The following is a 15,417-nucleotide window of genomic DNA, read 5'->3' as shown; positions in this document are numbered from 1 at the left end:
TAAGAGGTGATTAGGTCATGAGGGCACTATGGATGAATGACATTTTCAGAATGGGTTAGTTATCTTGGAAGTGGGTTCCTAATAAAGGGGTGAGTTTCACTGGATTTCAGCTTTCTCTGTCTCACATATTCGCTTGCTCTTCTGATCCTCTGTCATGGGATAACACAGCACAATGCCCTTGCCAGATGTCAGTGCCATGCTCTTGGACTTCTAAAACCATGAGCCAAATAAACTTTTCTTGTTTATGAATTACCTAGTCTGTGGTATTCTGTTATAGCAGCAGAATATGGGCTAAGACATAGGGCTTGCAGAATTGGGTATAGAAAGTAAGGGGGAAAAAGGAATTTCAGTTACTTTTGCTTTTTCCTGCTAATGAAGCATTACAATTGATGTTTTTATTCTTGAACAAACCGATAGATAAAAGGACTTGAATGACTTGGAAGACTAGCCACTTAATTTACCTAACCCTCGTTAAAACATTCTAGTTGTAAGTGGTTTTTTTTTTTTTTTTTTGAGACTGAATCTTGCTCTGTCACCCAGGCTGGAGTGCAGTGGCATGATCTCTGCTCACTGCAACCTCTGACCCCCGGGGTTCAAGCGATTCTTCTGCCTCAACTGCCCGCGTAGCTGGGATTACAGGTGTGCACCACCATGCCAGGCTAGTTTTTGTATTTTTAGTAGAGACCGAGTTTCACCATGTTGGCCAGGCTGATCTCACACTCCTGACCTCAGGTGATTCACCCTCCTTGGCCTTCCAAAGTGCTGGGATTACAGGCGTGAGCCACTGCACCTGGCCTCTAGTTGCAGTTCTTTCCTGGGGAGTTCGGATTTAGACCAAGATAGTCCAAGAAAGTGTTGAAGAAAGCTAAAGGTTAATAGTTGCAGAAGGTTTGGCCTTGGAGGTAAACCGTAAGTACTCAAAACTTGTTTAGGTATCAGTTAATCTTTTAATTAACATCATTACTTGTGTGTGATAAACACTATTTGAGTGCCTAGTGCACTCAATATTTATTAATAATTAAGAATTTGGGGGTTCTTTCGGCCGGGCGCGGTGGCTCACGCCTATAATCCCAGCACTTTGGGAGGCCAAGGCAGGCGGATCACCTGATGTCAGGAGTTTGAGACCAGCCTGACCAACATGGTGAAACCCTGTCTCTACTAAAAATACAAAAATTAGCTGGGCGTGGTGTTGCATGCCTGTAGTCCCAGCTACTCCGGAGGCTGAGGCTGAGGCTGAGGCAGGAGAATTGCTTGAACCCGGGAGGCAGAGGTTGCCGTGAGCTGAGATCACGCCACTGCACTCCAGCCCAGCGAGACTCCCTCTCAAAAGAAAAAAGAAAAAAAGGCCAGGCGTGGTGGCCCATGTCTGTAATCCCAGTCCTTTGGGAGTCCTAGGCGGGTGGATCATCTGAGGTCAGGAGTTCAAGACCAGCCTGGCCAACATGGTGAATCCCGTCTCTACAAAAATTAGCCAGACATGATGGCGGGTGCCTGTAGTCCCAGCTACTTGGGAGGCTGAGGCAGGAGAATTGCTTGAACCCGGGAGGCGGAGGTTGTAGTGAGCCTCATGCCACTGCACTCCAGCCTGGGCGACAGAGCAAGACAACTCTAAATGTATACTATTTTATGACATATGTTATTTTTAAATTGAATACCTCAGGAAATGTGATGCCCAATGTTTCTAGCTTCCAAATACTGTGCTTTGGGGATACTATCCTAAGAATTCTTTGTTATTTTCAGGTTTACAAATTGGTCTTTAACTTGCACTGCTAAGTAGTAGTATAAACACCACACCCCTCTCCATTATCACAGAAATTAGAAGAATTTCTTTTTCTTTTTTTTTTTTTTTTTTTGATATGGAGTCTCGCACTGTCGCCCAGGCTGTAGTACAATGGCGTGATATTGGCTCACTGCAACCTCCGCCTCCCGGGTTCAAGCGACTCTTCTGCCTCAGCCTCCCGAGTAGCTGGGATTACAGGTGCCGGCCACCATGATCGGCTAAGTTTTTGTATTTTTAGTAGAGACGGTAGTTGGGGACGGGGGGGTGGGGGTGGGGGGGGGTCACTATTTTGGCCAGGCTGGTCTCGAACTCCTGACCTCGTGATCCACCTGCCTTGGCCTCCCAAAGTGTTGGGATTACAGGCATCCCGCGCCCGGACAGAATTTCTTATCTAGAAAGGTTCACCATCATTTCAGAGTATATGTATTTCCATATGACATTATTCCAGTATCTCCTATGGTAATTTGATTAAAATCGGGTTTCTGACCCTTTGCCTGTTAGAGTTCACATTCTTTACCATTAGATTCAGAGACTATAATTCTTTCCTCCCAGCTCCTGTCACTTGAGGAGAATAATAGCACCCTCCAAACGTCCTATCTCTCATTGTCAGACAATTACGCTAAAGAGACCTTATATTAATTGACTCGAAGCCCCCCTTTTCTGAATTTAACTCTCCTTCATCAGACCATGCTAAAGAAAATAGCTAAGCCCCGCGGTTGTTCAGGGAAACTAACCCCTCAGAGATTGGACTTTGTTTCTAAATGCGGAGCCCAAACATGTAGGAATCCGGAATGCCATTTGATGGAAGTTGGATGGCCTTGATATGTGTTTATGTAAACAAAACATATTGGTTGGTAAATATTTTTAAACACTTTGTTAAAAAGATTCAATGACTCTGTAATGATAAAGATTCGCATAAGTTTTCAATGATCTTTGGATACATATACAAACATTCTTAAATCTAAGTACAATTAAATATTTAGAACGCTCTGAAAAATAATTCTGAAGTGCCGATCTAATAGTACGTTATAAATTTTTTTAGAAAAGAAACTACGCGGAGAATATAAAACCATGTAGTTAAACAGTCCTCAAGAAGTAAAAAAGCAGGCTAACGTAACAGGCGCCCGGCTAGCTCAGTCGGTAGAGCATGGGACTCTTAATCCCAGGGTCGTGGGTTCGAGCCCCACGTTGGGCGCGGGTTGTAACTTTTTTCCTGAAACTTAAACGCTTTCACTAAAGCACTTAAACTACAGAGTTCTCAAGCAGAATTAATTTAAACACTTTCAATATTAACCAGATTCTCCAGTAAAAAGTTAACCTTTTGTAAACGAAACAGGTCACAAACTGTGTTTGCGCAATTGAAATCACACGTCCTCCCCGTGTTCTCCTTAAAACACAGAGGAAACCAAATGCCCACTGTTAAAGACTAGTTTTTTGTGTTACTGTGCATACTTGGATAGTTAGTGGTAGAGGGCAGTTTTAATTGTTATCTTAACAAACCTATGAGCCCCACATTTTGGCTGCTCTTCTAAAATTTAAGAGACCGGATGTAAAAACATTCAGAGGCACCTGAGGACTCCGAAGAAAAAGAACCAATTTATCCTTCTCTGTTTCTCTTCCTCTCTCTCTCTCTCTGTCCTTTTTCCTATTCTCAATATGGAGTCTATCCCTGAAGAAATATATAGTGAAAAATAGTTCTTTTTGTAGTGAGATTTATACCACCAGTGCATACATCAAGTTTTCTTCCATTCTTCTTGGGGATGGATACTAGGAAATTAAGATTCTAGTAAAGGCTCTTTAAAGACGTACAAAACAACTGAGATATGAAAATTAGGATAGGCAATTGGATATGTGAGGGAGGAAAGGTTTCCGCCTTCTCCCCTTTGCACTGAGAACTGTGAAGTCAGCAGAATGTCCTCGCCCACTCGGACCACCACAGCCAGACACATTCCAGGATCTCACCCGCCAGACCACGTAGGCGAACGGTTTATGCTCCTTCCTACCTGAAGCCAACCCTGCCTAAAGCACTGGATCCTGTACCCTCCACGTGTCATCCCCCAGCTCTCTACTAAAGGATCCATTTTTCTCCCTTCTTGATTTTTCCGTTCAACACACAAACATGCTGTTATTTATCTTAAAAACTTCGACCTAGTTTCCTCACAGGCTGCCATTCTATTTCTCTGTTCCCCTGTGTAGCAAAAGCCCATCCCCTTTTGCCTAAGCTCAAGTTTCCCCTCCCTCCCATCTCTTAACCCTGACAATGCCCTTCAGCCATAGACCAAAACAAAACAAAACAACAAACAAAAAAAACCAGAAAACCCCCACACCTGTTGTCAAATACGTTTAGTTTATTACTCATGGCAACAAGGGAGAAGTGTGGGGTGATTCAGTAAGATGGTGATTATAGGATCTTGGCTTTTGTTGGGTAATTTGGGGGAGGGTCTAAGTAAGTAGGGGTTCTGAATTGGGTGCTCTCAGAAAACCAGGGCAATTCTAGGATCTGAAATCTTATCTATAAGGATGGCAGACTAAAGGAGGGATAAAGGTGAAACTGATAAAGTAAGTCACTCGTTTAGCAAGAGGGAGGTTTGGTGTTTTGAGTTGGACAGTAACCAACTTGTCTGAAGTGTATGTTATGTGAAAAACAGAAGAAAAGCATAGTTTGCCGAAAGCGTCATATCAATCTGTAATAGCATTGAGGCTTACTTGTGTTAGATTAGTTCCCAGATGTCAGGCACTTCTTGCTCTTCTCAACCCACCCTAGTCAGGACTTTCCGTCCCTCCCGGCACACCCCACTAGTCTACTAAACTGTACATGAAAAGGTCATCATTCATCTCCACAAAATCGAATTGTTAATTGCAAGTCCTAATTTACTTGGAGTATCAGAAATTTGTTACAAATTTTATCACTCCATGCTGGATCCACATCTCCCCCTTGGCTTCCAGCACACTAACGCTTTCTTGTTTTCTACCCTATCTCACCAGCTACTTCCTTTCTCTCCTATCTCTTCACTTGGGAGTGCTCCATCGATGGGTGAGTCCTTGGTCCCCTTCTCTATCCACACTCATGCACTTGGTGATCTCACAGTTTCAATTGTGATACTTGCTGATGATTCACAACTTTTTTTTTTTTTTTTTTTTTTGAGACGGAGTCTCACTCTGTCGCCCAGGCTGGAGTGCAGTGGCATGATCTTGGCTCACTGCAACTGCCGCCTCCCGGGTTCAAGCAATTCTCCTGTCTCAACCTCCCGAATAGCTAGGACTACAGGCACCCGCCACCACACCCGGCTAATTTTTGTATTTTTAGTAGAGACAGGATTTCACCATATTGGTCAGGCTGGTCTCGAACTCCTGACCTCGAGTGATCCACCTGCCTCGGCCTCCCAAAGTGCTGGGATTACAGGCTTGAGCCACCGTGCCCGGCCGATTCAAAACTTTTAAGACAGCCCAGATCTCTCTCTTAAATATCAAACATCTATATCCATTTGGATGTTTAGTAGATATCTCATACTTAACATGTACAAAAACTAATTCTTGATCTTTGCCCCAAAACTTGTTTCTCCTGTAGTTTTCCTTTTTTTCTCCATTAACGGTAACACCATCCTTCTAGTTGCATGGATGAAAAATATTGGAAACATTATTGATTCCTATCTCTCCAACCCCATTGTGAAAGTGTCTTTCAATATTCCCCTCCCATATTGACTGTGAGCTTGGCCATGTGACTAACTTTGGCTAATAGGACAACAGAAAGCATGATGCAAACAGTGTCTTGAGGAGAACTCACACAATGGAGTTTGGATCCAAGCTGCCAAGTAACAAATCAGTATTCTGAGACCACCATGCTGAGGGAGCCTAAGCCAGCCATGTGGAGAGAAGCATGTGGAAGACAGAGAAGGCATGTGGAGAGCACTGACACTGAGACTTGTAAACAAGGCTGTCCTAGACCTTCCATCCCAGCACACCAATTAAATACAGCCAGGTGGCTATCTCCAGCTCATACTACGTGGAACAGAACTGCTCACCTGAGTCTTGCCTGAATTCTGACCCACAAAACCATAAGCAAATACAATTCATATTGTTTTAAGCTACTAACTTTTAGAAGTTTGTTACATAGCAATAGGTAACTGAAACACCCACATAAGATCTATCAGGAAATCCTGTTGGTCTACCTTCCATGTATCCAGAATCAGGCTTCTCATCTTTACTGCTAGCACCTTGGCTTAAAACATCATCTCACTGGGATTACTGCAATGGTTTCATAACTGATTTTCCTGCTTCAGTTTGTCTCTCTAAACTCTATTCTTAATGCAACATCCAGAATAATCCGGTATAAACAAGCCAGATCTTGTCATTCCACTCAAAACCCTCCAAGGGCACCCTGTTTTACTCAGTAAGATGTATCCTTACAAGATATCCACCCACTCCCCCATCTACTATTGCTTTTCTTCTCCTTACTCACTCTACACAAGCCAAATTGGTCTCCTTGTCAATCCTGGAATATGTTAGGCATGGCTTTCCTTAGGGTTTTTTTTTGTTTTTTTGAGACAGGGTCTCACTCTGTCACCCAGGCTGGAGTGCAGTAGCGTGATCTTGGATCACTGCAGCCTCCGCATCCCGGGTTCAAGCAATCCTCCTGCCTCAGCCTCTGGAGTAGCTGGGATTACAGGCATACAGGACCACACCTGGCTAATTTTTGTATTTTTGGTAAACATAGGGTTTCACCATGTTGGCCAGGCTGGTCTTGAACTCCTGACCTTAAGTGATCCACCCGCCTCAGCCTCCCAAACTGCTGGGATTACAGGGATGGGCCGCCACAACCGGCTTCCTCTTCTTATAAAGATGCCAGTCTTACTGGATCGGGGCGCCACCCTAATGATCGCATGTTAATTTGACTACATCTGCAACTCTATTTCCAAATAAGGTCACGTTCACAAGGTACAGGGGTTGGGACTTCAACCTATCTTTTTGAGGGACATAATTCAACCTATAACAGAGGGCTACATTCCTTAACTTCAGCCACTAGTTGTCTGCTACTTTATAGCTAGTTTTAAAGCTCTATTTCAGTCACAGATCCTGTTTTTGATATTATTCAATGATGAAAACTTCTCATAAATAATCTAAATTCACCAAAATATGAGGTCAATATAAATGTAAAGTTCATGTTTACTGAAAAAAGAGATAATGTTAATAAAATAGTAAATCCATCCAATTGGCAAATAATAGTATACCTATTCCTGGCAATCCTCCTGGGAGGTTTCAAAGTTAAGAAATAGACAAGCCTTGTTCTACGAGAGCTTATATTCCAGAAAAGAAGATAAAACCTCTGTTGAAACGATTACAAGGTAAAAGTTAGAAGTGCCCCAATTATGGATACTGTGCTTAAGGAAAGAGTGCTATGGAAGAGCGGTAGGACTAGAGGACACAGGTATCCCGAAAGAATGAAGCCAGCAAAATTTCAACAAGAGGTAGTTCATTAAAAACAAATGAAAAAATAAAATAAAAGTTAAATGATTGAGTACATATTTCAAGAACCTCTGCCCTGAGAAGATATAAAGCACAAACGCAAAGATTAATGACATTGTGAATACATTTTTATAAAGCAGTTGTAACCTTATATAAAAATGAAGTATCTTTTTTCTTAGAAATGTAGAATTGCTCATTAAAAAAACTGTAAAGTTAAAAAGTGAACATTTCCACACTTGGCTTAACAAATGCTTGACTATGTTACCAAACATTCTCAGTCCAAAGATCAAATATATTTCTGGAAAAACAACATTATTATAATATGGACACCCAAGTACCAAAATAAATATTTTTTTTAAATGGACCCATGTTAGTATTTGAAATAACTGGTAATGGTTAACACTATTTATGCTTTAAATGGAGTAACTGCTGGAAACACAATTAATGAGCCCAGAACAGGTTATGTGAACTGTGGAGAAATACTGTTCTTTTTGAAAGACAAGCAACATAGGCTGGTACAGTGGTTCACGCCTGTAATCCCAACACTTTGGGAGGCCGAGGAGGGTGGATCACGAGGTCAGGAAATTGAGACCATCCTGGCTAACATGGTGAAACCCCGTCTCTACTAAATATACAAAAAATTAGCCGGGCGGGGTGGCGTATGCCTATAGTCCCAGCTACTCAGGAGGCTGAGACAGAATGGCGTAAACCCGGGAGGCGGAGCTTGCAATGAGTAGAGATTGTGCCACTGCACTCCAGCCTAAGTGACAGAGCGAGACTCCGTCTCAAAAAAAAAAAAAAAAAAAAAGCCACATAACAAACTTCCAAAATCAAACTGCTTTACTATACTTTATTGATATAAATACAGCAAATCTCAATAAGCACCAGCTACCATTTTACCACTACACAAGAGAAACAAAGTCAAAAGAATTATATATTAATGCAAAGAGTAAACACAGAATGCTTTCACTTCCACTATAGTCCTCTATAACAAAACATCCTACATACTTTGTACAATTTGCTTATAATTGGTTAAATATTTGATATGAAGCAAGGTTGATTTTTAATCAAACTTCTATTTCTCAGTGGAAAATGCTCTCTTCATCAGAGGTGGTTGAGTTTTCCCGACATCAAACATCATTTCCAAAGGTGGGTTATTGAGAGAACACCAATCAGGTATACGGCCCGTCTGATTATAATATTCCTTTGAAACAGAACGGCTCCCAAGTATATCTTGTAATGCTCCAAAAATAGCCCCTGTGTGACAAAAATATTTTTTATAGCTAAGATGAAAACTTTTACCAGAAAACTTTATGTACACATACATCTACTTCACTATATGACAAAAGTGGACTGGTAAAATTCAGCAATGCATAGCCACAATCTTCAAAGTAATTCCAGTTAAGCCATTCTTTATTTTACATTTTGAATAACAGGGTAAGCCATAACTCCATGTTAAAGTAATTGAAATGGCCTTTAGCAGATAATAGTGAATATGATAACAAGTATTATTGCATTTAAAAGCAAGTGAGATAGAGTGGAGTGAAAGTATTTTCAACTTTGTGTAAATACAATCAATAAGATTCTGAGTTTTCTCTCTCACAACTAAGGTTACATATCAATAAATAAAATGGTACTGCAAAACCCAATAAACATCATCATAATGTCCTAACATACTATACTGAAGACCTTATTAAGACCCACAAGGCAGTCTTTTAAAAACAATTCCATTACTAAATCAATTTGTCCTAGATCAAAACTACGTTTTGACCAAATTCTATTTTACAAGAAATAATGTAACATTCATTTTAAAATGTCATACTACTCTTTCTCTAAATGCACAATCCTGATACCTTCTAGCTCTAACTGCATCATAAAACACATATCAGAACCTGTATAAATGTACATATTCATGATTGTTTTTCCCTTCAAAGTAGTTACAGCTGATCCTTGAACAATGCAGGGATTAGGGGTGTGGACCCCCAAGCAGTTGAAAATCCATGTATAATTTTTGACTCCCCGAAAACTTAACTACCAATAGTCTACTGTTGACTGAGAAGTCTTACCAATAACATGAATAGTCGATTAACACATAAACAGCCCAGTATCTGTATATATATTTTTATACATTCATGATGTATCTTTTTCTTAATTTTTTTGATATTTCTAGGCTACATGGTTTGTCTATGTTTTTTCAAATTGTTGCAAATCTCCAAAATTTTTCTAGCATATTTCCTAAAAAACAGCATATGAGTGGACCCACATAATTCAAACCCATGTTGTTCAAGGGTCAACTGTACTTATTAGGTTAATTGCTTATTTCAGTGAAACCATCACTACTTAAAACATTTAATGAACTCAGTCACAAATATACTCATAAATTAAAGAGGCCAATTTTCATATGTGGCTCACTAGCTTTAGAAGACATTAAAATGAACATTTTAAGAAATGGTAAGCCAGGGGCGGTGGCTCACACCTGTAATCCCAGCACTTTGGGAGGCAGAGGCGGGCGGATCACCTGAGGTCAGGAGTTTGAGACCAGCCTGACCAACATGGAGAAACCCTGTCTCTACTAAAGATACAAAAAACTTAGCCAGGCGTGGTGGCGGGCGCCTATAATCCCAGCTACTAGGGAGGCTGAGGCAGGAGGATTGCTTGAGCCTGGGAGGCAGAGGTTGCGGTGAGCTGGGATCACGCTATAGCACTCCAGCTGGACGGGCAACAAAGATGAAACGTCTCAAAAAAAAAAAAAAAGAAAGAAAGAAATGGTAGCATCACTGGAATAAATTCATAGCTTTCACTATTTTGAGGGATGACTTTAACTAAATGAGAACGTTTACTTAATATCACGGTGCAAATGCCAAGAGAAATAGGTATAAAATTCTGAAAATTAATACAATTTAAGAAAAAGTCAGCTGGGCATGGTGGTTCATGCCTGTAATCCCAGCACTTTGGGAGGCCAAGGTGGGTGGATCACGAGGTCAAGAGATCGAGACCATCCTGGCCAACATGGTGAAACCCCGTCTCTACTAAAAATACAAAAATTAGCTGGGCGTGGTGGTGCACGCCTGCAGTCCCAGCTAGTCAGGAGGCTGAGGCAGCAGAATTGCTTGAACCCGGGAGGCGGAAGCTGCAGTGAGCCGAGATCGCACCACCACTGCACTCCAGCCTGGCGACAGAGTGAGACTCCGTCTCAAAAAAAAAAAAAAAAAAAAAAAAAAAGAAAAAGTCAGTGTTAGTTCTATTTATAAAGTGGGCAATTCTGAACCCTGAATTATTTATTCTAATATATCCATTAATAGTGTCATTCAGAGACCAAATACTATATAATCATTATATTTTAAAAGTGAAATTCTTACCTCCCAACCAGGCCACACAATTAGCTTTTGCAGGTGGAGTATGAATTCGAAATGTCTTAGTGCCAAGTGCTTTTTTATATTTTGGTTTTTCTACCAAATACCTTATTTCTGCAAGCAATCTGTGGAGAAATCCTGGCAACATAGAAGTGCCACCTATGACTACCAAATTCTCTGCTAGTTGCTTCCTGGTGTCTATCGGACACTGTTATTAAAAAGAAAAAAAGAAGGATTTATTCTGAACTGTACAAATAATGCTTGATTGAACTTAAGAAAATATACATAAATATACTATTATTATACATATTATTATTATACTACAGATTAAACAGGTGATCGTTTGTATCGCAAAAAGGGCCACAGCAAGGTTTCTTTCATGTAGCAAATATAACCACCATAAACATACTGCCAAATATATACATAAACTTTAAAGATTTTAAAATAGTTTAAAGTCTAAAAGCATAGAATTTTACATTCCATAGGGCATATGTGAGTGTTCTCACTGTCAGGGTAGCAATGATTAAGTAGGGCAAAGAGCATGAGAAGAAATAACTTCTCTTTTTTGGGATAAGTGAAATATGTAGAAATTTAATTTTTCTAAGGTGTATTCACAGTGCCAGTTGTTAAGTGGGAAGATAACACTCCTAGAAAAATTATGGTTCTACATCAGTTCTCTTTAAGAGTTAGCGATGATAAGGTCCTTCAATGAATGGAGCCCTAGAGGTAAACATATCTTCCAAGGCAATGGTATTTCATGCGAAGTCCTATAATTACATAGTCATTAAACGAAAGAGACATATTATTACCATATGTCCTGTGGAATTTAAAATTGAATACTATACAACCCTGAATTGGAAGGAACCACAAGCCACACTAGGTACAAAATAAAAATCTGGTCCCTGGTCTTAAAAGAATGCACATGTCACTGGGTTTGGTGGCTCACGCCTGTACAGCCCTTTGGGAGGCCGAGACAGGTGGATTACCTGAGGTCGGGAGTTCAAGACCAGCCTGACCAACATGGAGAAACCCCATCTCTACCAAAAATACAAAATTAGCCAGGCATGGTGGCACATGCCTGTAATCCCAGCTACTCGGGAAGCTGAGGCAGGATACTCACTTGAACCCGGGGGCGGAGGTTGTGCTGAGCTGAGATCATGCCATTGCACTCCAGCCTGGGCAACAAGAGCAACACTGTCAAAAAAAGAGAAAAAAAAGGCCAGGTGCGGTGGCTCACGCTTGTAATCCCAGCACTTTGGGAGGCCGAGGCGGGCGGATCACAAGGTCAGGAGTTCAAGACCAGCCTGGCCAACATGGCGAAACCCTGTCTCTAAATAATACAAAAATTAGCTGGGCAAGGTGGTGGGTGCCTGTAATCCCAGTTCCTCAGGAGGCTGAGGCAGGAGAATCACTTGAACCCGGGAGGCAGAGGCTGCAGTGAGCTGAGATCGCGCCACTGCACTCCAGCCTGGGTGACAGAGCGAGACTTTGTCTCAAAAAAAAAAAAAAGCACATGTCCATGGCACTCATTATCCTGGGGTTTGGAATGTTGTAGATGCCATTTCTCAGTGCCAGAGTAAAACTCATGAACTATAAAATTTTAAAATGAAAGTTTAAAAAGTTAAAAAAGGACCGTATTCTGTAAAAATTAATAAAATTTAATAAGCAGATTAGTTGTTGACACATATTAAAAATAATATGTGACAAGGATTGCTAGTTGCCTAAAATAACATTTAAAATTTATATTTAAAGGACTGTGGTAATAAAGGGAATTTTTTGACAAGATAAAATACCTGTATAAGGGAATCCAATATTAAAGTGGCAACTGATTGCTCTTCATTATCTTGTTCAAAAAGAATTTCCACAACTGAATCTCTAATGGGATTTGAAAAAGAGAGCTTTCTGTTGGTGTCACGTATTATAATATTACACAGAATACACCATTATTTCCATTTACATAGTATTTTTAAGTACCAATACTACATTAACAAAGAATAATTATTAAAATACAAGGTGTTCTCATTTGTAAATGGAGAGGATAACAATGCCTGCCTCACAGGGTTTGAGGTGAAGATGCAATGAGTTAATAGAACAGGGTCTGGCACATAGGAGGCATTCCCTAAATTATTAGCTGTTACTATTATTATGTATAGATTTACATTTATTTTGTGTCCAATTATAACTCCCCAAACCTAATAAGAGAAAAGAAATAGTATTCTATGAAAGTTAGTAAGATTCAATAAGCAGATTAGCTAGTGATACAAGAGATTTATAAGCAATCACCCCCCATTTCTTTGTTTTTTAAAATAATACAAGGATCACTAGTTGCTTAATAAAATATCCATTTTCCAGTTTAATCTCAAATTAAAATTACTCTATTTCTTTTTGGTAGCATGAGGAAGATCTCTGTGGTGATGAAAGAGTTCCATATTTTTTTAAAAATTATATATATATTTAAGGTACACAACATAGTTTGATATATACATATATATACACACATAATGAAGTAATTACTACATTCAAGCAAACTAACTTATCCATCACCTTCCATAAGTAGTAAGAGCACCCAAAATCTATTCTTTTTTTTTTTTTTTTTGATACAGAGTCTTGCTCTGTTGCCCCGGCTGGAGTGCAGTGGCGTGATCTCGGCTCACTGCAAGCTCCGCCTCCTGGATTCACGCCATTCTCCTGCCTCAGCCACCTGAATAGCTCGGACTACAGGTGCCCGCCACCGCGCCCGGCTAATTTTTTGTATTTTTAGTAGAGACGGGGTTTCACCGTGTTAGCCAGGATGGTCTCGATCTCCTGACCTCGTGATCCGCCCACCTCGGCCTCCCAAAGTGCTAGGATTACAGGCGTGAGCCACTGCGCCCGGCCCCAAAATCTATTCTTAGCAAATTTTCAGTATAGAATAGTGTTACTAACTAAAGTCCTCATGCTGTACATTAGATCTCTAGGTTTATTCATCACTCATAACTGCAAGTTTGTGTCCTTTGACCCTCTCCTCATTTCCTTCCCCTCCCAACTCCTAACAACCACTGTTTTACTCTGTTTCTAGATATTTGACTTTTTTTTTTGATTCCACATATAAGTGAGATCAAGCAGTATTTTTCTTTCTGTCTGGCAATAGTTCTATATCTCCATTGTTGTAGTGACTGTAGAACTCACACATGATAAAATAACACAGAACTGACATATATTTTATGCCAATGCCAATTTACTAGTTTTGATATCATATTATAGTTATATAAGATGTTTAACCATTGGGAGAAACTGAAAGGGTATATGGGACCTCTCTGTATTATCTTTTACAACTGCCTGTTTATCTGTAGGATTTGAAAATAAAAAAAGATAAAACTCCATTTTTAAGCTGGATATATTGTGCCTCCACCCCATCCCACTAGTTAAAACATTGTATTTACCAGCCTTTGGCCAGATGCAATGGCTCATGCCTATAATCCCAGCATTTCAGGAGGCTGAGGCAGAGCAGGGGAATGGCTTGAGGCCAGGAATTCAAGACCAGCCTGAGCAGCACAGTGAGACCTCATCTCTTTAAAAAAAAAAAAAAAAAAAAAAAAAAAAAAAAAAAAAAGTCTGTCTTGCAACTAGATGTAGTTAAGTACCAGTCAATGAGATGTAGGCAAAAGTAATATGTCGGACTTTTTTTTTTTCCCTTTTGAGACAGAGTCTCGCTCTGTGCAATGGTGTGATCCCGGATCAGCCTCCCAGGTTCAAGCAATTCTCATGTCTCAGCCTCCCAAGTAGGTGTGATTACAGGCCTGTGCCACCACGCCCAGCTAATTTTTTGTATATTTTCAGTAGAGACGGGGTTTTGCCATGTTGGCCAGGCTGGTCTCGAACTCCTGGCCTCAAGCGATCTGCCCGCCTCAGCCTCCCCAAAGTGTTGGGATTATAGGCAAGAGCCACCGCACCCGGCCTATGTTGGACTTTCAATTAAGAGTTAAGTACTTCCTTCTTTCCCTTCTTAGGACTACTTGCTTGAAACAAAAACGTGGTAGCTACAACTCCAACAGCCATCCTGGACCTCAAGGATAAGGGCTATATCTCAGAGATGATAGATGGAAAGATGTTTGGGTCTCTAATATGAGATGATAATATTGTCCCTGGATGATCTACCTCTGAACTTCTTTTCTTTTAATTTCAAATTTTTTGAGATAGGGTCTTGCCCTGTTGCCCAAGCTGGAGTGCAATGGCACAATCTCAGCTCACCACAACCTCTACATCCCAGGCTCAAGCAATCCAACAGCACTGGCATCCCAAGGTGCTGGGATTACAGGTGTGAGCCACTGCGCCCAGCCTTGAACTTCTTTTAAATGAGATAAACTTCTAAGTTGTTGAAGCCACTATTTTCAGGTTTGTATAACTGTGGCCAAACCAATCCTAACCAATGCAATACAAAATTAACTATACATATACAGGTATAAACTCTATTTTTTATAAAATTGGGATATTATGCATAACTATTTTAAAGCTTTTAAAAATCCTTTTCAAAACATAAAATCCTCTTCATGAGACTCAATCTACTAGCTAATTTTTTCCACTTCACCACTAAAGTATACTAACTGAGGCCTGCAGTATGCTGAACGGGCATAGCTGGTCAGGCCCTTGCCACTATGCCTGCAGACTTCTTCCACCAGTTGAGCTGCATGCTTACAAAGAGTCACTCTTCTTTTTCCCAATCTTTTGTCAGCTGATTTGATATTAAAATTACATAACTTAACAATTATTACTTAACCAGTGAAATATTAAGGTAGAAAACAAGTTGTTCTTTCTATGAATGTTGAAAGCTTTGGAAAGACA

At 40.3% G+C, this 15,417-nt stretch overlaps 1 protein-coding gene and 1 non-coding gene across 5 annotated transcripts in view, besides 3 other annotated features; one reads left to right on the top strand and one right to left on the bottom strand.

Annotated features, from left to right (window-relative positions):
* Positions 1–2,902: 2,902 nt before the first annotated feature.
* On the top strand, positions 2,903–2,975 carry TRK-CTT1-1 (tRNA-Lys (anticodon CTT) 1-1). The gene has a single exon. It is a non-coding gene; the product is annotated as a tRNA-Lys (tRNA).
* Positions 3,920–3,969: an enhancer, noted in NCBI's record as "active region_8445". NCBI's record gives its function as "activates an Ori minimal core promoter by ATAC-STARR-seq in GM12878 lymphoblastoid cells {active_cell/tissue: GM12878}" and the evidence as "EXISTENCE:reporter gene assay evidence [ECO:0000049][PMID:35858748]".
* Positions 4,060–4,149: an enhancer, noted in NCBI's record as "active region_8444". NCBI's record gives its function as "activates an Ori minimal core promoter by ATAC-STARR-seq in GM12878 lymphoblastoid cells {active_cell/tissue: GM12878}" and the evidence as "EXISTENCE:reporter gene assay evidence [ECO:0000049][PMID:35858748]".
* Positions 4,160–4,219: an enhancer, noted in NCBI's record as "active region_8443". NCBI's record gives its function as "activates an Ori minimal core promoter by ATAC-STARR-seq in GM12878 lymphoblastoid cells {active_cell/tissue: GM12878}" and the evidence as "EXISTENCE:reporter gene assay evidence [ECO:0000049][PMID:35858748]".
* Positions 7,234–15,417, bottom strand: part of ACTR10 (actin related protein 10) — a 35,488-nt gene continuing 27,304 nt past the window's right edge. For all 4 annotated transcript variants that reach the window (XM_011536960.2, NM_018477.3, XM_011536961.2 and 1 more), the window contains 3 exons: positions 12,390–12,471; positions 10,603–10,804; positions 7,234–8,500 (listed from right to left, as the gene is read on the bottom strand). In XM_011536960.2, the coding sequence (XP_011535262.1) occupies positions 8,319–8,500; positions 10,603–10,804; positions 12,390–12,471 (466 nt within the window). In that variant the 3' untranslated portion in view covers positions 7,234–8,318. The remainder of the gene's footprint in view (positions 8,501–10,602; positions 10,805–12,389; positions 12,472–15,417) is intronic.

This window comes from Homo sapiens, chromosome 14 (genome assembly GCF_000001405.40).
Source record: "Homo sapiens chromosome 14, GRCh38.p14 Primary Assembly".
Taxonomy (NCBI): Eukaryota; Metazoa; Chordata; class Mammalia; order Primates; family Hominidae; genus Homo; species Homo sapiens.
The sequence above is the reverse complement of the archived record's forward strand: the minus strand, read 5'-3'. Positions and strand labels throughout refer to the sequence as shown.